The sequence below is a fragment of the Homo sapiens genome, chromosome 6 (assembly GCF_000001405.40).
Source record: "Homo sapiens chromosome 6, GRCh38.p14 Primary Assembly".
NCBI lineage: Eukaryota > Metazoa > Chordata > Mammalia > Primates > Hominidae > Homo > Homo sapiens.
The window spans coordinates 8,905,734-8,921,995 of NC_000006.12; the positions used below are offsets into that span (position 1 = coordinate 8,905,734).

A 16,262-nucleotide genomic window follows, 5' to 3' on the forward strand; every position below is an offset into this window, starting at 1 on the left:
ATCTCTCTGCGGGAGGCTGGGGAGGGTGTGAAGCTGCAGGACTGAGACCCAAACTCAGCTTGGATGGTAAAGGAAGGAGCCTATTAGTGTATCGCAAAGCTCCTTACTTCCTTCTTGGCAGGAGTTGTTGCTTGGAGCCAGCAGGTGCTTAATGCTGTTAAATTTATGAGTAGTGAAAGCTGTTGGATTTCTTAACATCTGGGTAACATAAATTATCAGAATTTTTTTTAGGCTGACATAGTTGGAAAGTGATTTCGAAATCCATGAAAAGCCATTAGGTAACCTTTACTGGAATGTGTTTATTTTTGAACATTTACCTGTGTGACTGTAAGCTGTCCCTAGATGAGCTGACAGACCCTGGCTGAGCAGGAAGTGGCAGGGTCAGGAAAAGCTAGGCCACAAGTTTTCCCTTGAGAGCCTTAGGTAAGACACGGAGCACTTTTAATTTATATATTTATTGTTTTCGGGGAATTTTTTCTCTTGCTCAGAATTACCAATATGGTAAGTGCAGAACCAACATATCAATTTGTAAATGATTTCCATTGTTTATTTTTCCTTTTAAACTAGATGTGATACTGAGAGCTGCTCCCTTATCCGCCTTTCTTTCCCTTCTCTCTGTTCTTTCATCACAGTAGATAATTGAGTTATCACCTGTCAGGCAGAATTTAAAAAGTAAAATAAAGTAGGAAGAAAGGAATTGACCATTTCTTTATAGTAACAGCTATTTATATAACATTATGTTGCTGTTGTCTATGTTTGTCTGTTTTATACCGGGACTGATAACTGCAAATAGGCATTTCTTAAACTTTTAGCCACTGTTAATTTTAAGTGATGCTGTCCATAAAATGTTATCACGCTTGTATTTTCATGTTGTAAATGGACCATTTTGAGCTTGAAGTGTATTGAGAGATTATTTTTCTACCTAGATTTTACTTTCTAACAGAAATTGAAGTAGTATGTAATATTGGCTTAAAATATTACTGTTTTCCACACTCTTTTTATTGATTGCATAAGAATGCAATCAATGACTGGAATTAGTGGATTAAAAAGAAAAACAACACAACATGAAATGTGTTAGCATATTTCACATGATGTTGTCAAAAGAGCCATGGACTGTGAGAACTGTTGGGTACAACCTCAGCCTCACTCTTCCTATTCTGTGACCCTGGGCAGACTACATAGGCAGCCAGAGTCACAGTTTTGCTTTCTTACAGTAGAATTTGCAGTGACATTGTAGGTGACAGCCCAGCATCCACTGGGCCCTTGCCTTACTGATTTATAGGAATGCAGTTAGGGGACCTGACATAGGTGAAGGGGAGGGTCTGATTGTATGAACAGTTGTTCTAACCCTTTTTTCTGGTAATTATTTTGATATACTATATGCTATTATATATACACACACTACTATACAGTCTTAAGACATTAGGATATTTTATATATGTATATTTATATATGTGTGTATATACATACATATGCCTTAGTGCATTATATATCACAATCAATCAAACAAACTCTATAAAATAAATACACTTGGGCTGTTGCATGTAATATTTTTGTGGTTTCCAAGAAAAAAATGCAATCTGTCCAAAAACATGTTTAAGTAATATTTTACCTTACTTTGAAACTTCAGTTCTTCCAGATTTTCTCTTATTGACTACTTGGGAAAATTTACACTTAAAAAAAGATGTGTGTTTTTAGTTCAACACTTGCTCATACTTGTATGGCTGGTTGTGTCAGAAATTGTATTTATTTATGGGCATATTTCAGGATGTTTTCATAGGAAGAAAACAAAACCGAAGGCCTTCAGATAGGATCTATAATAATGCTTCACAACTGAAGACAGTTTTCTTGGGGTTTTTGCTCCTTGAAAAAAAGAACAATAATGTGCCAGAGACCCCAAAGGGAAATATATTGTTAATGGAAAAAATTGCTTTCATTCACACTTTCTATTTAGGGGAGCCCTTGCTGCCAGGTTATAATGAAAACATAAAGGTCTAATACAAAACTGATCAGGGAGAAGGAGGCAGAGGAGACGAACCCAGAAAATGCAGCCTCTAATCCAGATGTTAGCATTAGTGGGGTTGCTTTTGTGAGAGACAGCCAGCAGACTTTACCTTATTCATCCTCTCTGAGGCCCCTGCTTCATGATCAAATAAAAAACAATTAAAATCTTATTTTTTCAGGTTTCAACATTTTTTATACAATTTAGATTGTGTTTACTTATAGGGAATTCTCAAGTATGAAACAACTTCCTTATGATGGTTGATTTAACTGATTTAAAGTTCTAGAAAAAGATGAAAATAAACAACACCCATAAACAGCTTTTGTTCAAGCCAGGGAAACAGGAAAATCACCTGAAGTTCTTTTTATTGTCTCATTAAAATAAACTTTTTCTCAACTTGATGAAATTAAGTTAAGGATACATTCTTAGAACTTAAAAAAAAAAAGACTTCTGTGTGGCTTAGAAAATAATGGTTTACTGGCCTATGTGGAATGGGAAAACAAGAGGGTTTTTTTTTTATACTTTAAGTTTTAGGGTATGTGTGCACACTGTGCAGGTTTGTTACGTATGTATACATGTGCCACGCTGGTGTGCTGCACTCATTAACTCGTCATTTAACATTAGGTATATCTCCTAATGCTATCCCTCCCCCCGCCCCCCCACCCCAAAACAGACCCCGGTGTGTGATGTTCCCCTTCCTGTGTCCATGTGTTCTCAATGTTCAATCCCACCTATGAGTGAGAACATGCGGTGTTTGGTTTTTTGTCCTTGCGATAGTTTGCTGAGAATGATGGTTTGAAAGAGGGTTTTTTAAAAGGAGGAAACAAATTACTCTCATAGAGAAATAGAGACAGGCTTAATCATTAAAACAATGCTTAGTGTCAAATATTAGAACACACGTTTCAGAAGAAGTGAATACTCTTTGGAACCATCTGTTTTGGCTTTCTTCATAACCTTTGGGAATGCATTTTGGAGAAAGCCATCACAAAACTTCACAGAATTGTACCTCCTTCCTATGGTAGCTGCTTTGCACATTCCAGAAATTTATGTCTTTCTGGGAAGTGACATAGCACACTCTGCTTGCCTGCTCTTTCGCACGAGGGAAGGAAGGAGGTGGTACTATTGGAGCTCTTGTTCATCCTCTGCTTTTGCTCGCTGGTGTGCTTCTCTCAAGTCCAGCACCATTTACCATGGGCATCTGACCATGTAGTCTGTGAGATAGCTTCATTAAGCCTAAGTACTTGATTGGAATCTCAATATTAGGTATAGTAGCCCTAAATTTGTAATTTTCACAAATGGATTAATGTGAACTTACTAAACCTAAAGCTTATTTGGATTATAAATGAGAATGCATCTGCATCATTTTTTGGTTATAGAAGTTTTTTCTTAGTTTAGATTCCCCTTGAAATAGACCCTCAACCAAAGATCAGAATGCAGATAGTTGAGTTGAGAACTTCAGGAGTCAGCGGAGTGGTGCAGGAAAAGGAATACACCCAATAAAGGATGCTGTGGGAGAATGGGGTTAACATGGAGGGTTTACTTGGAGGGCTTATTTTTAAGGGTTTATTTGGACTTTTATTAGTATATGATTCACTATAAATATCACAAAAATGTAATACTTTTGCATATTCCTTATTGTCTGATATTAGCTTCTTACAGCAAATATTTATACTGTTGGCTCAATTTAGACCACAAGAAAATTGGAAACTCTGGAAACGTGTGTAAGACATATGTCACAATTATCCCACCTGAAGGATGTAGAGATTTACAACAACTTTTGCCAGTTATCAGTTGACAGCTGCATTAGAGCTGTATTCAATAGGTACTAACTCACCTGCATGTCCATCCTATTGGACGTGGGTAGAATGGCACCAGGAGGGTCTGCCTGATTAACATAAGATTATCTAGAAATTATAAACACTAATAAAATTTTAAAAATTATATTGCAAAATCCAAATAAATGTGCAAAGCGTAGACAATTAACAAGAACTATGAATAAAAAAGCAGTTAACATCAATGGCAAAAATAATGAGCTAGCATTTGTTACACATAAAATACATAGATGAAGGGATGAGGATTATTTTTCCTTTATACTTTGCTGAATTTTTTTAATTTTAAATACAACACTGTATATTACTTTAGTATGAAAGTCACTATAAATATCATGAAAATCTCATATATTCTGTATATTGTTTGTTGTATTATATTAGTTTCTTATAGCAAATATTTATAATATTGGCTCAATTTAGACCATGAGTAAATTTATGTCTCATGAATATGAGAAAATAAAAAGAACTTTAGGTGATTTTCCTGTTTCTCAGGTGTGAACAAAAGCTGTTTTTAGGTGTTGTATATTTCCATCTTTTTCTAGAACTTTAATTAAATTGGCAGAGTTATCTAATGTTCTTGCTTTACACACAAAAAATAGACAAAATAGCAAAACACACAGGTATAAGTTCACCAGTTCACCAAAGAATTAATTTAACAGAGGCCTCCTAGGGGGTTACATATTTCTCTAGGTGAGGTGAAAATTTTTTTCTGTATTTGAAGTATTTCTTCATTTTACATGTTTCATTTGTAAAATTCTATAACAATCATATCTACCATAAATTTGTCTTTAATTCGTATTTTGGATCTCTCATGCACTGAAAATAAAGAAACTATCTATCCTACAATCGGAAATATACACAATACAACTGTAGGGAAGAAGGATTTTTATCTGCCATCATCATGTCTCAATGGCCTGTGATACACTTAGTCTCTAAAGAGAGGTAATCAGAGAAATACCTAAAATGCTTAGATGGAAGTATGACAATATAGAATCTGTAATATCATTCAGTAATTTAATATTTTGGTATTTGTAGTAGTCATAGCTCACAAGAAATGTGAACAATGCATTAATATGTAACTTATATTTAGAAAATACTTTTTCATTTTCAATCTAGGAAATTAATAGACAAGTATGAAAACTTATGAAAATGATATTTTCTCACTTAACTTTCTTAAAATGCAATGCAAATCTTACATAGTTCAAAAATAAATATAAATTTGTTCTGCTACCACAATCTACAAAGTTTTACTAGTATCAACAAATGAGCAAATCAATAATAAGCTCTAAAGCTAACTGAAAGTGTTTCACAATTTTAACTTGTTTATTCTCTAAATCACTGTCACTAAAGGAAAGATAAATGAAATGTGTTCATTTCATTTTACATTTACAAAATAAATGATTAAGAATTACCCATCGTTTTCCATATCAAATTATCCTGAATGTATTTTTTCTGGGACTGCTAAGGGCTTCTGTCAGTAATTTGGAAAGAAATGAAAATCATATTAATAGGATACTGGTTATTAACAGCCTAACACAAAAGTTTAAAAATTATATTGGCTCCTTGAAAATGTACTAGATAAGGTGATTCACTGTTAATATCCATTTGTAAAATAGCCAATTACAATTAGTCTTAAACGGGCAAATCTAAGAGTTATTGTTCTTTAAGAGGAGGTAGAGAAAGAGATAGGGGTAGAAAGTTTATTGAAAGGGAAAATAACATTGAACTTCCCAAAGAAGTTGGGAAGTACAAGAAGGTTATAGAACATCAAGCAGATTTAACTCAAAGAAGGCTACCTCTTTATTATTTTTAATAATCAAAGTCCCAAAGGTTACGAATAGAGAAAGGACCCTAAAAACAACAAGAGAAAAGAAACAAATAACATCAATGGAGGAATCACATTACCTGACTTCAAATTGTACTACAGAGCTATAACAGTCAAAACAGCATGGTACTGGCATAAAAACAGATACATAGACCAATGCAACAGAACAGAGAACCCAGAAACAAATCCACATACCTACAGTGAACTCATATTTGACAAAGCTGCTAAGAACATACACTGGGGAAAACACAGTCTCTTCAGTAAATGGTGCTGGGAAAACTGGAACGAAGTGAAACTAGAGCCCTATCTCTTGCCATATACAAACCTCAAATCAAACTGAATTAAAGAATTAAATATAAGAACTCAAAATATGATATTACTCCAAAAATACCATACAGGAAACTCTCCAGAACATGGATCTGGGCAGAAATTTCTAGAGCAGTACTCCATAAGCACAGGCAACCAAAGCAAAAATGGATAAATGGGAACTCATCAAGTTAAAAAGCTTCTGCACCGCAAAAGAAACAACAAACTGAAGAGACAACCTGCAGAATGGGAGAAAATATTTGCAAACTACCCCTTTGACAAGGGATTAATAACCAGAATACATAGGGAGCTCAAAAAACTCTATAGGAAAAAAACCTAATAATCCAATCAAAAAATGAGCAAAAGATTTGAATGCACAATTCTCAAAAGAAGACATTCAAATGGTAAACAGACATATGAAAAGGTGCTCAACATCGTTGATTGTTAGAGAAATGTAAATCAAAACTATAGTGAGATATCATCTTACCCCAGTTAAAATGGCTTATATCCAAAAGACAGGCAATAACAAATGCTGGTGAGGATGTGGAGAAAAGGGAACCCTTGTACACTGTTGGTGGGAATGTAAATTAGTACAAGCACTATGGAGAACAGTTTGAAAGTTCCTCAAAAAACTAAAAATAGAGCCACCATATGATCTAGCAATCCCACTGCTTGGTGTATACTCAAAAGAAAGAAAATAAATGTATTAAAGAGGTATTTGTACTCCCATGTTTGTTGCAGCACTATTCAAAATAGCCAAAATTTGGAAGTAACCTGTGTTGCTTTTGTATTTAGATAAATATCTTTTGTATTTAGATAAATACAAAATAAATTAGAGATGATATAAACAAATGGAAAAACATACCATGCTCACGGATAGGAAGAATCAATATTGTTAAAATGGCCATACTGCCCAAAGCAATTTAAAAATTCAATGCTATTCTTATCAAATTACCAATAACATTTTTCAGAGAATTAGAAAAAAAATTTCTAAAATTCATTTGGAACCAAAAAAGAGCCAGAACAGCCAAAGCAATCCTAAGAAGAAAGAACAAAGCTGGACACATCCTGCTACTTGACTTCAAACTATACTACAAAACTACAGTTACTAAAGCAGCATGGCAATGGTACAAAAGAGACACATAGACCAATGGAACAGGTTAGAGAACCCAGAAATGAAGCCACACACTTACAATCATCTTAGCTTTGCCAAAGCCAACAATAAAAATCAATGAGGAAAGAACAGTGTATTCAATAAATGGTGTTGGGATAACTGGCTAGCCCCATATGCAGAAGATTGAAACTGGATCCCTATATTTCACCATATTCAAAAATCAACTCAAGATAGACTAAAGACTTACATGGTAAAACTAAAATGATAAAAACCACAGAAGAAAACCTAGGAAATACCATTATGCGCATCTGTCCTGGCAAACATTTCATAATGAAGACTCCAAAACAATAGCAACAAAAGCACAAATTGACAAGTGGAACCTAATTAAATTAAGGAGCACCTGCACAGCAAAAGAAACATCAATAGAGTACACAGATAACCGACAGAATGGAAGAAGGTATTTGCAAACTATGCATCCAGCAAAGACCTAATAACCACAATCTATAAGAAAATTAAATCAACAAGCAAAAAACAACAACCCCACTAAAAAGTGGGCAAAGGACATAAACAGACACTTCTCAAAAGAAGACATACACTCAGCCAGCAAGCATATGAAAAACTGCTCAATATCACTGATCACTAGGGAACTGCAAATTAAAACCACAATGAGATACCATATCACACCAGTCAGAATGGCTATCATTAAAACGTCAAAAAATAACCAGCTAGTTGTGGAGGAAAGAAATTGCTTACACACTGCTGGTGGGAATGTAAATTAGTTCAGCCACTGTGGAAAACAGTCTGGGGATTTCTCAAAGAACTTAAAATAGAACTATCATTCCACCCAGCAATCCTATTACTGGGTACATATCCAGAGAAATATAAATCATTCTACAATAAAGACATGTGCACATGGATGTTCATCGCAGCACTGTTCACAACAGCAAAGACATGGAATCAACCTAGATGCCCCCCAGTGGTGGACTGGAGAAAGAAAATGTGATTCATATACATCATGGAATACTACGCATTCATAAAAAAGAACAAGGTCATGTCCTTTGCAACAACATGGATGGAGCTGGAGGCCATGGTACTAAAAGAATTAATGCAGGAACAGAAAGCCAAATACTGCATGTTCTCACTTACAAGCAGGAGCTAAACATTGAGAACACATAGATAAGAAGAAGGAAGCAATGGGCATTGGGGGCTATTGAGGGTGGAGGGTGGGAGGAGGGCGAGCATTGAAAAGCTACCTATTGGGCACTATGCTGATTACATGGGTCACAGAATTGGGGTCTGTACACCAAACCCCTGCCATATGCAACTTACACATAACAAACCTGCACATGTACTCTTTGAACCTAAAATAAAAGTTGGAAAATAAAAACAAAAAGGTTGCTTGCTGGCCAGAGATCATTTCCACAGTTCATCTATATAATTATGCTGTATCTTTTGCTCTTTGGTTTGTTTTTAACTCTACCAATTATAGGAGGACTCCACTCCCTACCCTTACCAAATTCCTTGGCCACATAATCCAATAATAAGAATATTATTCAAGTGAAATAACCATCAACATTAGAAGTTTTGGACTTATAAACCCTCCATCAAAACATTTTGAAAACTGTCAGCTTTTAAAATGTAATACATGAAGGCTGTTCTTGAATTCAAAAATAATTGTACAGTAAAATATATAATTATTTTGAGTTAAAGCATGACCATTCTTGTCACAAAATATGCTGTTGTCATTGATCTTTAGCCCTTCGTCTCCTAAATAATAACATTTTTCCCCTAAATCTTCTCATCTTTTTTTGGTAAGGAGCTGTTTGTCCAATAGGAATTTCCTCTCACAAGAACTGAATAGTTCAGGTGTCACTGCTGTTCTCTACTTTTTTATTGTCAAAGTCGAATCCTAGCAAATGCTAGCCGAAGTTCCATCTGCCAGATCATAAATCTCAATTTCAGTCAGGGTTGTATTAAACTGCCACGATCATCTTCAGCTTTGAGAACCAGCTGATTGTTACGCATCAACATGTTCTTTACATGACTCGAAGCCTTCTGGCTGGAACCATGGAGAGGAGGCTTCTTATGACTAGCACCCCTGTGGTGGCGGAACTGACCAAGAAAACGCTCACTTTCTGCTCTCAGCTCCAGTGTCTACGGAGCAATATGTAGATGATCGCTATAGCAATTTCTTGTTGCCTCTTTATTTTCTCCTGATCCTTTTCTGTTAGCATTCTGATCTCCTTCTTTGGGGGATTTCACACAGAGTGTAAACAGGAGGAGGGCATTTTCTAGCATCTACTTGTTTCTGCCCTCTCCCTCTATTTTATAGTTTTTTTCTGCCCAACCACGAAATGCTGGTGCTTCTCAGGTGCTGTCCCAGGCTGTACTAGAATGGGAATACCTGTCTGGGGGTGATGTCATGCAATTCCAGTAAAGGGCTGGTACAGACCGCAGTGGAACAAGCACAGGACGGCCCACTCCCCATTTCCTTCTCATCTCCAGCAGCTAGGCCCCTGGCTCGTCCCTGGAGCTTTAAAATTCTGTGCATCCCTTTGAAATCACCCTATCATTCTCCTCTTCTCTATACAGTCACCCACACAATTGAAAACTGTAAAAGATTCCTAGAGATCATCTGATTTAGCGTCCTTTAAACTGTGTTCTAGAAGTTGGTGCCGGGGCCAGTAGAGGAAGCAAAGGAAGACTGAGCTTCTGGATCCTGGCTTCTAAGTCTGCTTCTTCCATGGTGGCTTTGTTTCTAACTCTTTTATGTTCTAGCCTGTCTCACAAGATTTTAGTAGAAAAAAGTGTGTCTTGGCCAAAGAAACAGTTCACAAACCGCTAACTTGGTCCATATCATTGTCAGAAAGCAAATTTGATGAAGTGGTATTTTTTCCAAAATCCTGTAACTTAATTGTGGCAGAACTAGGACTAGAACCAAGTTTGGTTGGGTAATATTTTTACTATAGCATCCTGCCCCTGGTAAATAATGTATTTACACTTTAAACACCAGCAGAAATTTAAGCCAAAGGAAGAAACAAACAAACGCGATGAGAATTTCAGGCAGACTATGATGATGTATTGATGAGAGAGAAATTTTGAAACTACTGAGGTCTCTTCAGTCATACCCACTAAGTTAGTGAATGGTTCTGCTTTGATCATGATGTCAAGGTGGGAATAAAGAATGCTTATTTTTCTGTCTATTTGTAAAACAGGATAGAAATGGATATTAAAATGCAAAAATAGTGCATTTTTGATATTTATCTACAATAACTCACTTGACCAAATTCTAGATTTTGTTGGATCAAATAATTTGAACACAGACAGAGAAATTTTGAAAAGTGTGTGTGTTTGTGTGTGTGTTTTCATTGCAAATCTCAAATTCTAAGTTAATTTATCACATTGGAAATACGATGCCTGATTTTTCCTGGCATTTGGCAATATTTATCCATGCTTTATAACTATCACAAAACAATCTTGGATAGGCTTTTATTGGTCAGATATTGAATTAGCCAACAAGAAAACATTGTTCCATTGAATTTATAATATTTAAGAACACACATGGAAAGGGAGGGGAGAGGAGATTGGTATAATAGATTTCAAATTGAATTTCAAAATTTTCAAATAAATAACCTAAGATATCAGTGTGGAACTTAAACTAGTCTTCCGTGGTATGAATATACTACAGTTTGTCTAAACATTCACTCATTAAAGAACATCTGGGTACTTTCCTGGTTTGGGATGTTACAAATGAAGTTGCTATAAACATCCATGTACACATTTCTGCATAAAAATTGGGTTTTTATTTCTCTGTGATAAATGGCCAAGAGTACAATTGCTGATTTTATGGAAGTTCATTTTTTATATAAAAAAAACTTTCCAAACTATTTTTTGAGTGACTGCACCATTTTGCCAGTTATATATGAGTGAGCCAGCTTTTCTGTATAGTTGCCAGCAGTTAGTGTTATCATTGTTTTTTATATGAGTTATTCTAATAGATGTGTAGTGATAATTATATTAAAATTTGTCTTTTCATTCTCTTAACAAGTCATTTGCAGAGCAAAATCTTGTAAGTTTGATAAAGTCCAATTTGTCAATTGTTTCTTTTATGGATTATGCTTTCAGCATGAAGCATAAGAATTCTTTGACTAGTCTTAGGTACTAAAGTACCTCAGAAGATGTGGTATATACACACAATTGAATCATATTTAGTTTTAAAAAGAAGAAAATGTTGTCATTCATGATGACATGGATGGAATTAGAGAAAATTATGCCAAGTGGAATAAGCCAGGTGCAGAAAGACAAACATGTTTTTACTTACATGTGCAATCTAACACAATCAAACCTGTATAAAGAGAGTCAAATGGTGGTTAACAGAGGCTGCAGAGTGAGAGGAATGGGGAGATGATGATCAAAGAACACCAAGTCTTAAATGAGAGAAATAAGGTGTGTTTTTTGAGACCTACAGCATAGCCTGGCAAATATAGCTAATAAGAGTGTATTGTGTATTTCAAAATTGCTGCGAGAGTGAGTCTCAAATGTTCTCACCACAACAAAATTGTTAAGTATTTAAGGTGGTGGATATATTAATTACCTTAATTTAATTATTCAACATTGTATTTATAAATAGTAGCATTACTTTGTACTTGATAAGTATATACAATTATAAATTGTCAATTTACAATAAAATTTAAAATACAAAAAAAGAGAGCCAAGAACATTTCTCCCACCAGACATTTTCAAAATATTTTATTTTTTTTTTAGCAAAAGGGTCAGAAAAATCCTAGACCTCGATATTACAGAAATTAGATCTCTATGTAGTAAAAATTTGAGCTCTTAATATGCTGTGTCTAGATGTTATTCTTGTAATACTATTTATCAGTCTTGTTTTTATAACTTTCTCCCAATTATTCCGTACAACTACTCTCAATTTATTTGCTCTTATTTCCTTTATATCCACTCAAATATCACACTAATTTCTGCCTTTGGGCTTGCTCATAGTTTTATAGCAATCACAAATGTCACTTACATACGTTCTTCTTGGCCTTCCTTTCCACAAATCCCATATACTATTTGGCAGCTAAGGCTAAAAGTATTTCCACTATCTCAAGAGTTTTGTTTTTTTTTTAATGCAAGTTAGAAAACTTTCCTTTAAAATAATAACTATGGTATTTCTGGGAGCTGAAAACAATTGAGAAATTTTAGAAGACAAACCCAGGGCCACATGAAATTATAACTATAAAAGCAACACAAAATATGAACTGTTAAAGCAATATGAAAGGATTCAAATTTACTTGGTTTTAATTCAATTTGTGAGTGATCAGAGTCATAGGAACCATTATAGGCTATTATGCCAAATATTAAAAATAATCTTTCAAAACCCCTCTGCCATTGTCAACTCTCCCTTATAGTATCAGAGGGGTTTCTATATTAAATAATAGCAAATGATTTCAGATAAAATGTTTCTGCAATAGTTAATCATAAAAAATAATGTTTTACTACATGATGCATTGGTCATTTAGAAAAAGAAAACTCTTGACTAATACGTCATTATGAAACTTTTATCTGCTTACTATTGACTACAAATATTACTAATATCCCAAACCTTTTTGTTTTAATTTTAAGAAACTCAATTTCCAGTAACGGTGTCTTGTCACATTCATAGATCAACCACTGAAACCTTTACATCAACTTGTATTATATGTTATTGTATTATCTGTGCCAGATCATCTGTTGGTTGAATGAATCTTAATTGGTAAATAATTTTAACTTCATTTTATTATAAATGTGATTCTTAAAATATTCAAGGAGAAATACTACTATAAGCTGTCAATATTTATTTGATTATATGTTTATATCCAAGTTTTGTTTTCTCTGTTATGTATGAGAAGGCTACTTTATTTTGTTTTTCACCAGGTACTAATCAACAATAACTTGTGGATTTAAAAACCTTGATTAGATAAACTGAAGGCAGAATAAAGGACTATGGCAGCTTCTTGGAATACAGGGGGAAGTTGATGGTTTAAGTTGCTTGAGTCCTAAGCTAGGAGATGTATATTTTCTCTAACTGGGAGAATATTGGACATGGTGCCATTGCAAGTTCATTCATTCATTCAATTAATCAATTAATAGGTATAATGGAGTGCCACTGTGTGTCAGGTAATGTGAAGGGAGCTACACACATTTTGGTGAATAAAACAAACGGCCCTTACTATCAGAGAGTTTACAAATTAACATAAGAGAGTGGTAACAAACAAGGAAATGAACAAATAAATGTATAACTGTAAAGTTTAGAAAGTTCAAATGATGGAAACAAGCAGAGTAGAATGATAGAAACTGCCTGGTATTGGGAAATGGAGAAGGGGATTATATTTCATAAGCAATCTTTAGGATACTACATTTCAGCAGAGATCTGAAGGATGAGAAAGAGCTAGGCACATTGGCCAGGAAAAATCTGTGCTATCACAGAATCCTTCAGTTTACCTACAAGTATAGTTCTAGAGATAAGTAACTAGTAATATTTTTGCCTGTGAACTTGCATGAGTTTTGATACAAATGAATCACCATCATTTATTCACAGTGTGGGATGGTAGTTAAAATGGTAAAAACTATGCCATAAATTATGCTAGGAGACAATCCTACTTTCTATATCTCAGGACATGTATAATCCCATAAAATGCAAGATGGAACCCTGAAACACTTGGTAAGTGTAGAAATGAAAACCTCCCTACATTTCCTCCCATTTGAATAAGACTGAAAAGAAGCAGCTTAGAGTCTTCCCCTGAGCTGGAAAAGTGCACAAGCCACCCCATGACAGTATTTCCAAGAGCCCCTTCGCTGAGCCACTTTTCCCAAGGCTTTGTGCTAGAAAGATGAGAGAATTAATGGAGAGAACAGGAAACAATGCAGAGGAAATTATTCTGCCTGTTATTTGGTTTTAAATGGGATCTAATTAAACTAAAGAGTTTCTGCACAGCAGAAGAAACTATCATCGGAGTGAACAGGCAACCTACAGAATGGGAGAAAAATTTTGCAATCTATCCATCTGACAAAGAGCTAATATCCAGAATTTACAAATAACTTAAACAAATTTACAAGAAAAAACCAAACAACCCCATCAAAAAGTGGGCAAAGGATAGGAACAGACACTTCTCAAAAGAAGACATTTATGCAGCCAACCAACACATGAAAAAAAACCTCATCATCATTGGTCATTAGAGAAATGCAAATCAAAACCACAATGAGATACCATCTCACGCCAGTTAGAATGGCAATCATTAAAAAGTCAGGAAACAACAGATGCTGGAGAGGATGTGGAGAAATAGAAATGCTTTTACACTATTGGTGGGAGTGTAAATTAGTTCAACCATTGTGGAAGACAGTGTGGTGATTCCTCAAGGATCTAGAACTAGAAAAACCATTTGACCCAGCAATCCCATTACTGGGTATATACCCAAAGGATTATAAATCATTCTACAATAAAGATACATGCACACGTATGTTTATTGCAGCACTGTTCACAAGAGCAAAGACTTGGAACCAACCCAAATGCCCATCAATGATAGATTGGATAAAGAAAATGTGGCACATATACACCATGGAATACTATGCAGCCATAAAAAAGGATGAATTTATGTCCTTTGTGGGGACATGGATGAAGCTGGAAACCATCATTCTCAGCAAACTAACACAAGAACAGAAAACCAAACACAGCATGTTCTCACTCATAAGTGGGAGTCAAACAATGAGAACACATGGACACAGGGAGGGGAACATCACACACCAGGGCCTGTTGGGGGGTTGGGGGTTAGGGAAGGGATAGCATTAGGAGAAATACCCAATGTAGATGATGGGTTGATGGGTGCAGCAAGCCACCATGGCACATGTATACCTATATAACGAACCTGCACGTTCTGCACATGTACCCCAGAACTCAAAGTATAATGATAATTTCAAAAGCATGCAGTGTGTCAGAGTCAAAAATGACAACTTTTTAAAGTCGATCTTAATTCAGGAAAGAAAATGTGATTTTTTTTCTTTTTTTCTTTATTCCTGCAACTGCCCAGTAACTGTGCTCAATAAAAGCACAGCAAGTGCCCTACAAATGGCTTTGCTTTACGATCTTCAAAAGTAATTTTATATATCTAAACTTTACTTTTCCAACTTTAAAGTCTCTAAGTTTCTTTCAGATCCAAATAGTAGCTACTGTTTATTGTATACTTATTACATGCCAGTCATTAATGTACATACATTATTTCACTTAATAATAAAACCCTGTACTAAAGATAGTATTACTCTCATTCTGCAGATAAGAAAATAGTCTCAGAAATACTGCGCAACCTGCGAGAGCCACACAATTAGTAATTGACAAAACCTAATTCAAACTCAAGCCCACGTTCTTAACCACCTGCCGATGATTCTTAAGTTCTATGGGCTGCATTTGCACCATAGCCAAGTTCTACTTCGTTGAGAGTCTTAAGGGAGTCACTACTAACCCTGACATTTCTTTTTTTTCTTTTTTTCTTTTTTTTTTTTTGAGACAGAGTGTCGCTCTGTCACCCAGACTTGAGTGCAGTGGCACTATCTCAGCTCAGGGCAATCTCTGCCTCCCGAGTTCAAGTGATTCTCCTGCCTCAGCCTCCCGCGTAGCTGGGATTACAGGCATGCACCACCATGCCCAGCTAAATTTTGTATTTTTAGTAGAGATGGGGTTTCACCATGTTGGCCAGGCTGGTCTCGAACTCCTGACCTCAAGTGACCCACCCACCTCGGCCTCCCAAAGTGCTGGGATTAGAGGTGTGAACCACCCTGCCTGGACTAATCCAGATATTTCTAATGCAGAGAAACTTTACGTAATTTCAACTCTTCTCTTTGTTGTCTAAATAATGGGTATATTCTCCCCATCATTGGAATTATGCTTATTTTAGCAGGTTGTGAGGTGTTTGCAAATTAACAGTGTGGGTTTTAGATGGAGGATACATCAGGTTAAATTTCTTGCTGACAATGAGCATGAATTCACTGGGAGGATTTCTTCAGCCACTAATTTTCCAGAACTGTGGCAAGATGCTACTTTTCACTGCTACTTGGTGATCAGCAGGAAAGGAGTGCATGGGCTTTTCTTGAGTTTCTCCTCTTAATTCAAACAGTCAACACGTATTCAATGAGTTTTTTTTTTTGTCATTAATG

At 35.4% G+C, this 16,262-nt stretch overlaps 1 long non-coding RNA gene across 3 annotated transcripts in view; it reads left to right on the forward strand.

Moving 5' to 3' along the window:
- Positions 1-340: 340 nt before the first annotated feature.
- Positions 341-16,262, forward strand: part of LOC112267952 (uncharacterized) — a 34,285-nt gene continuing 18,363 nt past the window's right edge. For all 3 annotated transcript variants that reach the window (XR_007059440.1, XR_007059441.1, XR_007059439.1), the window contains exon 1: positions 341-423. This is a non-coding gene — a long non-coding RNA (uncharacterized LOC112267952). The remainder of the gene's footprint in view (positions 424-16,262) is intronic.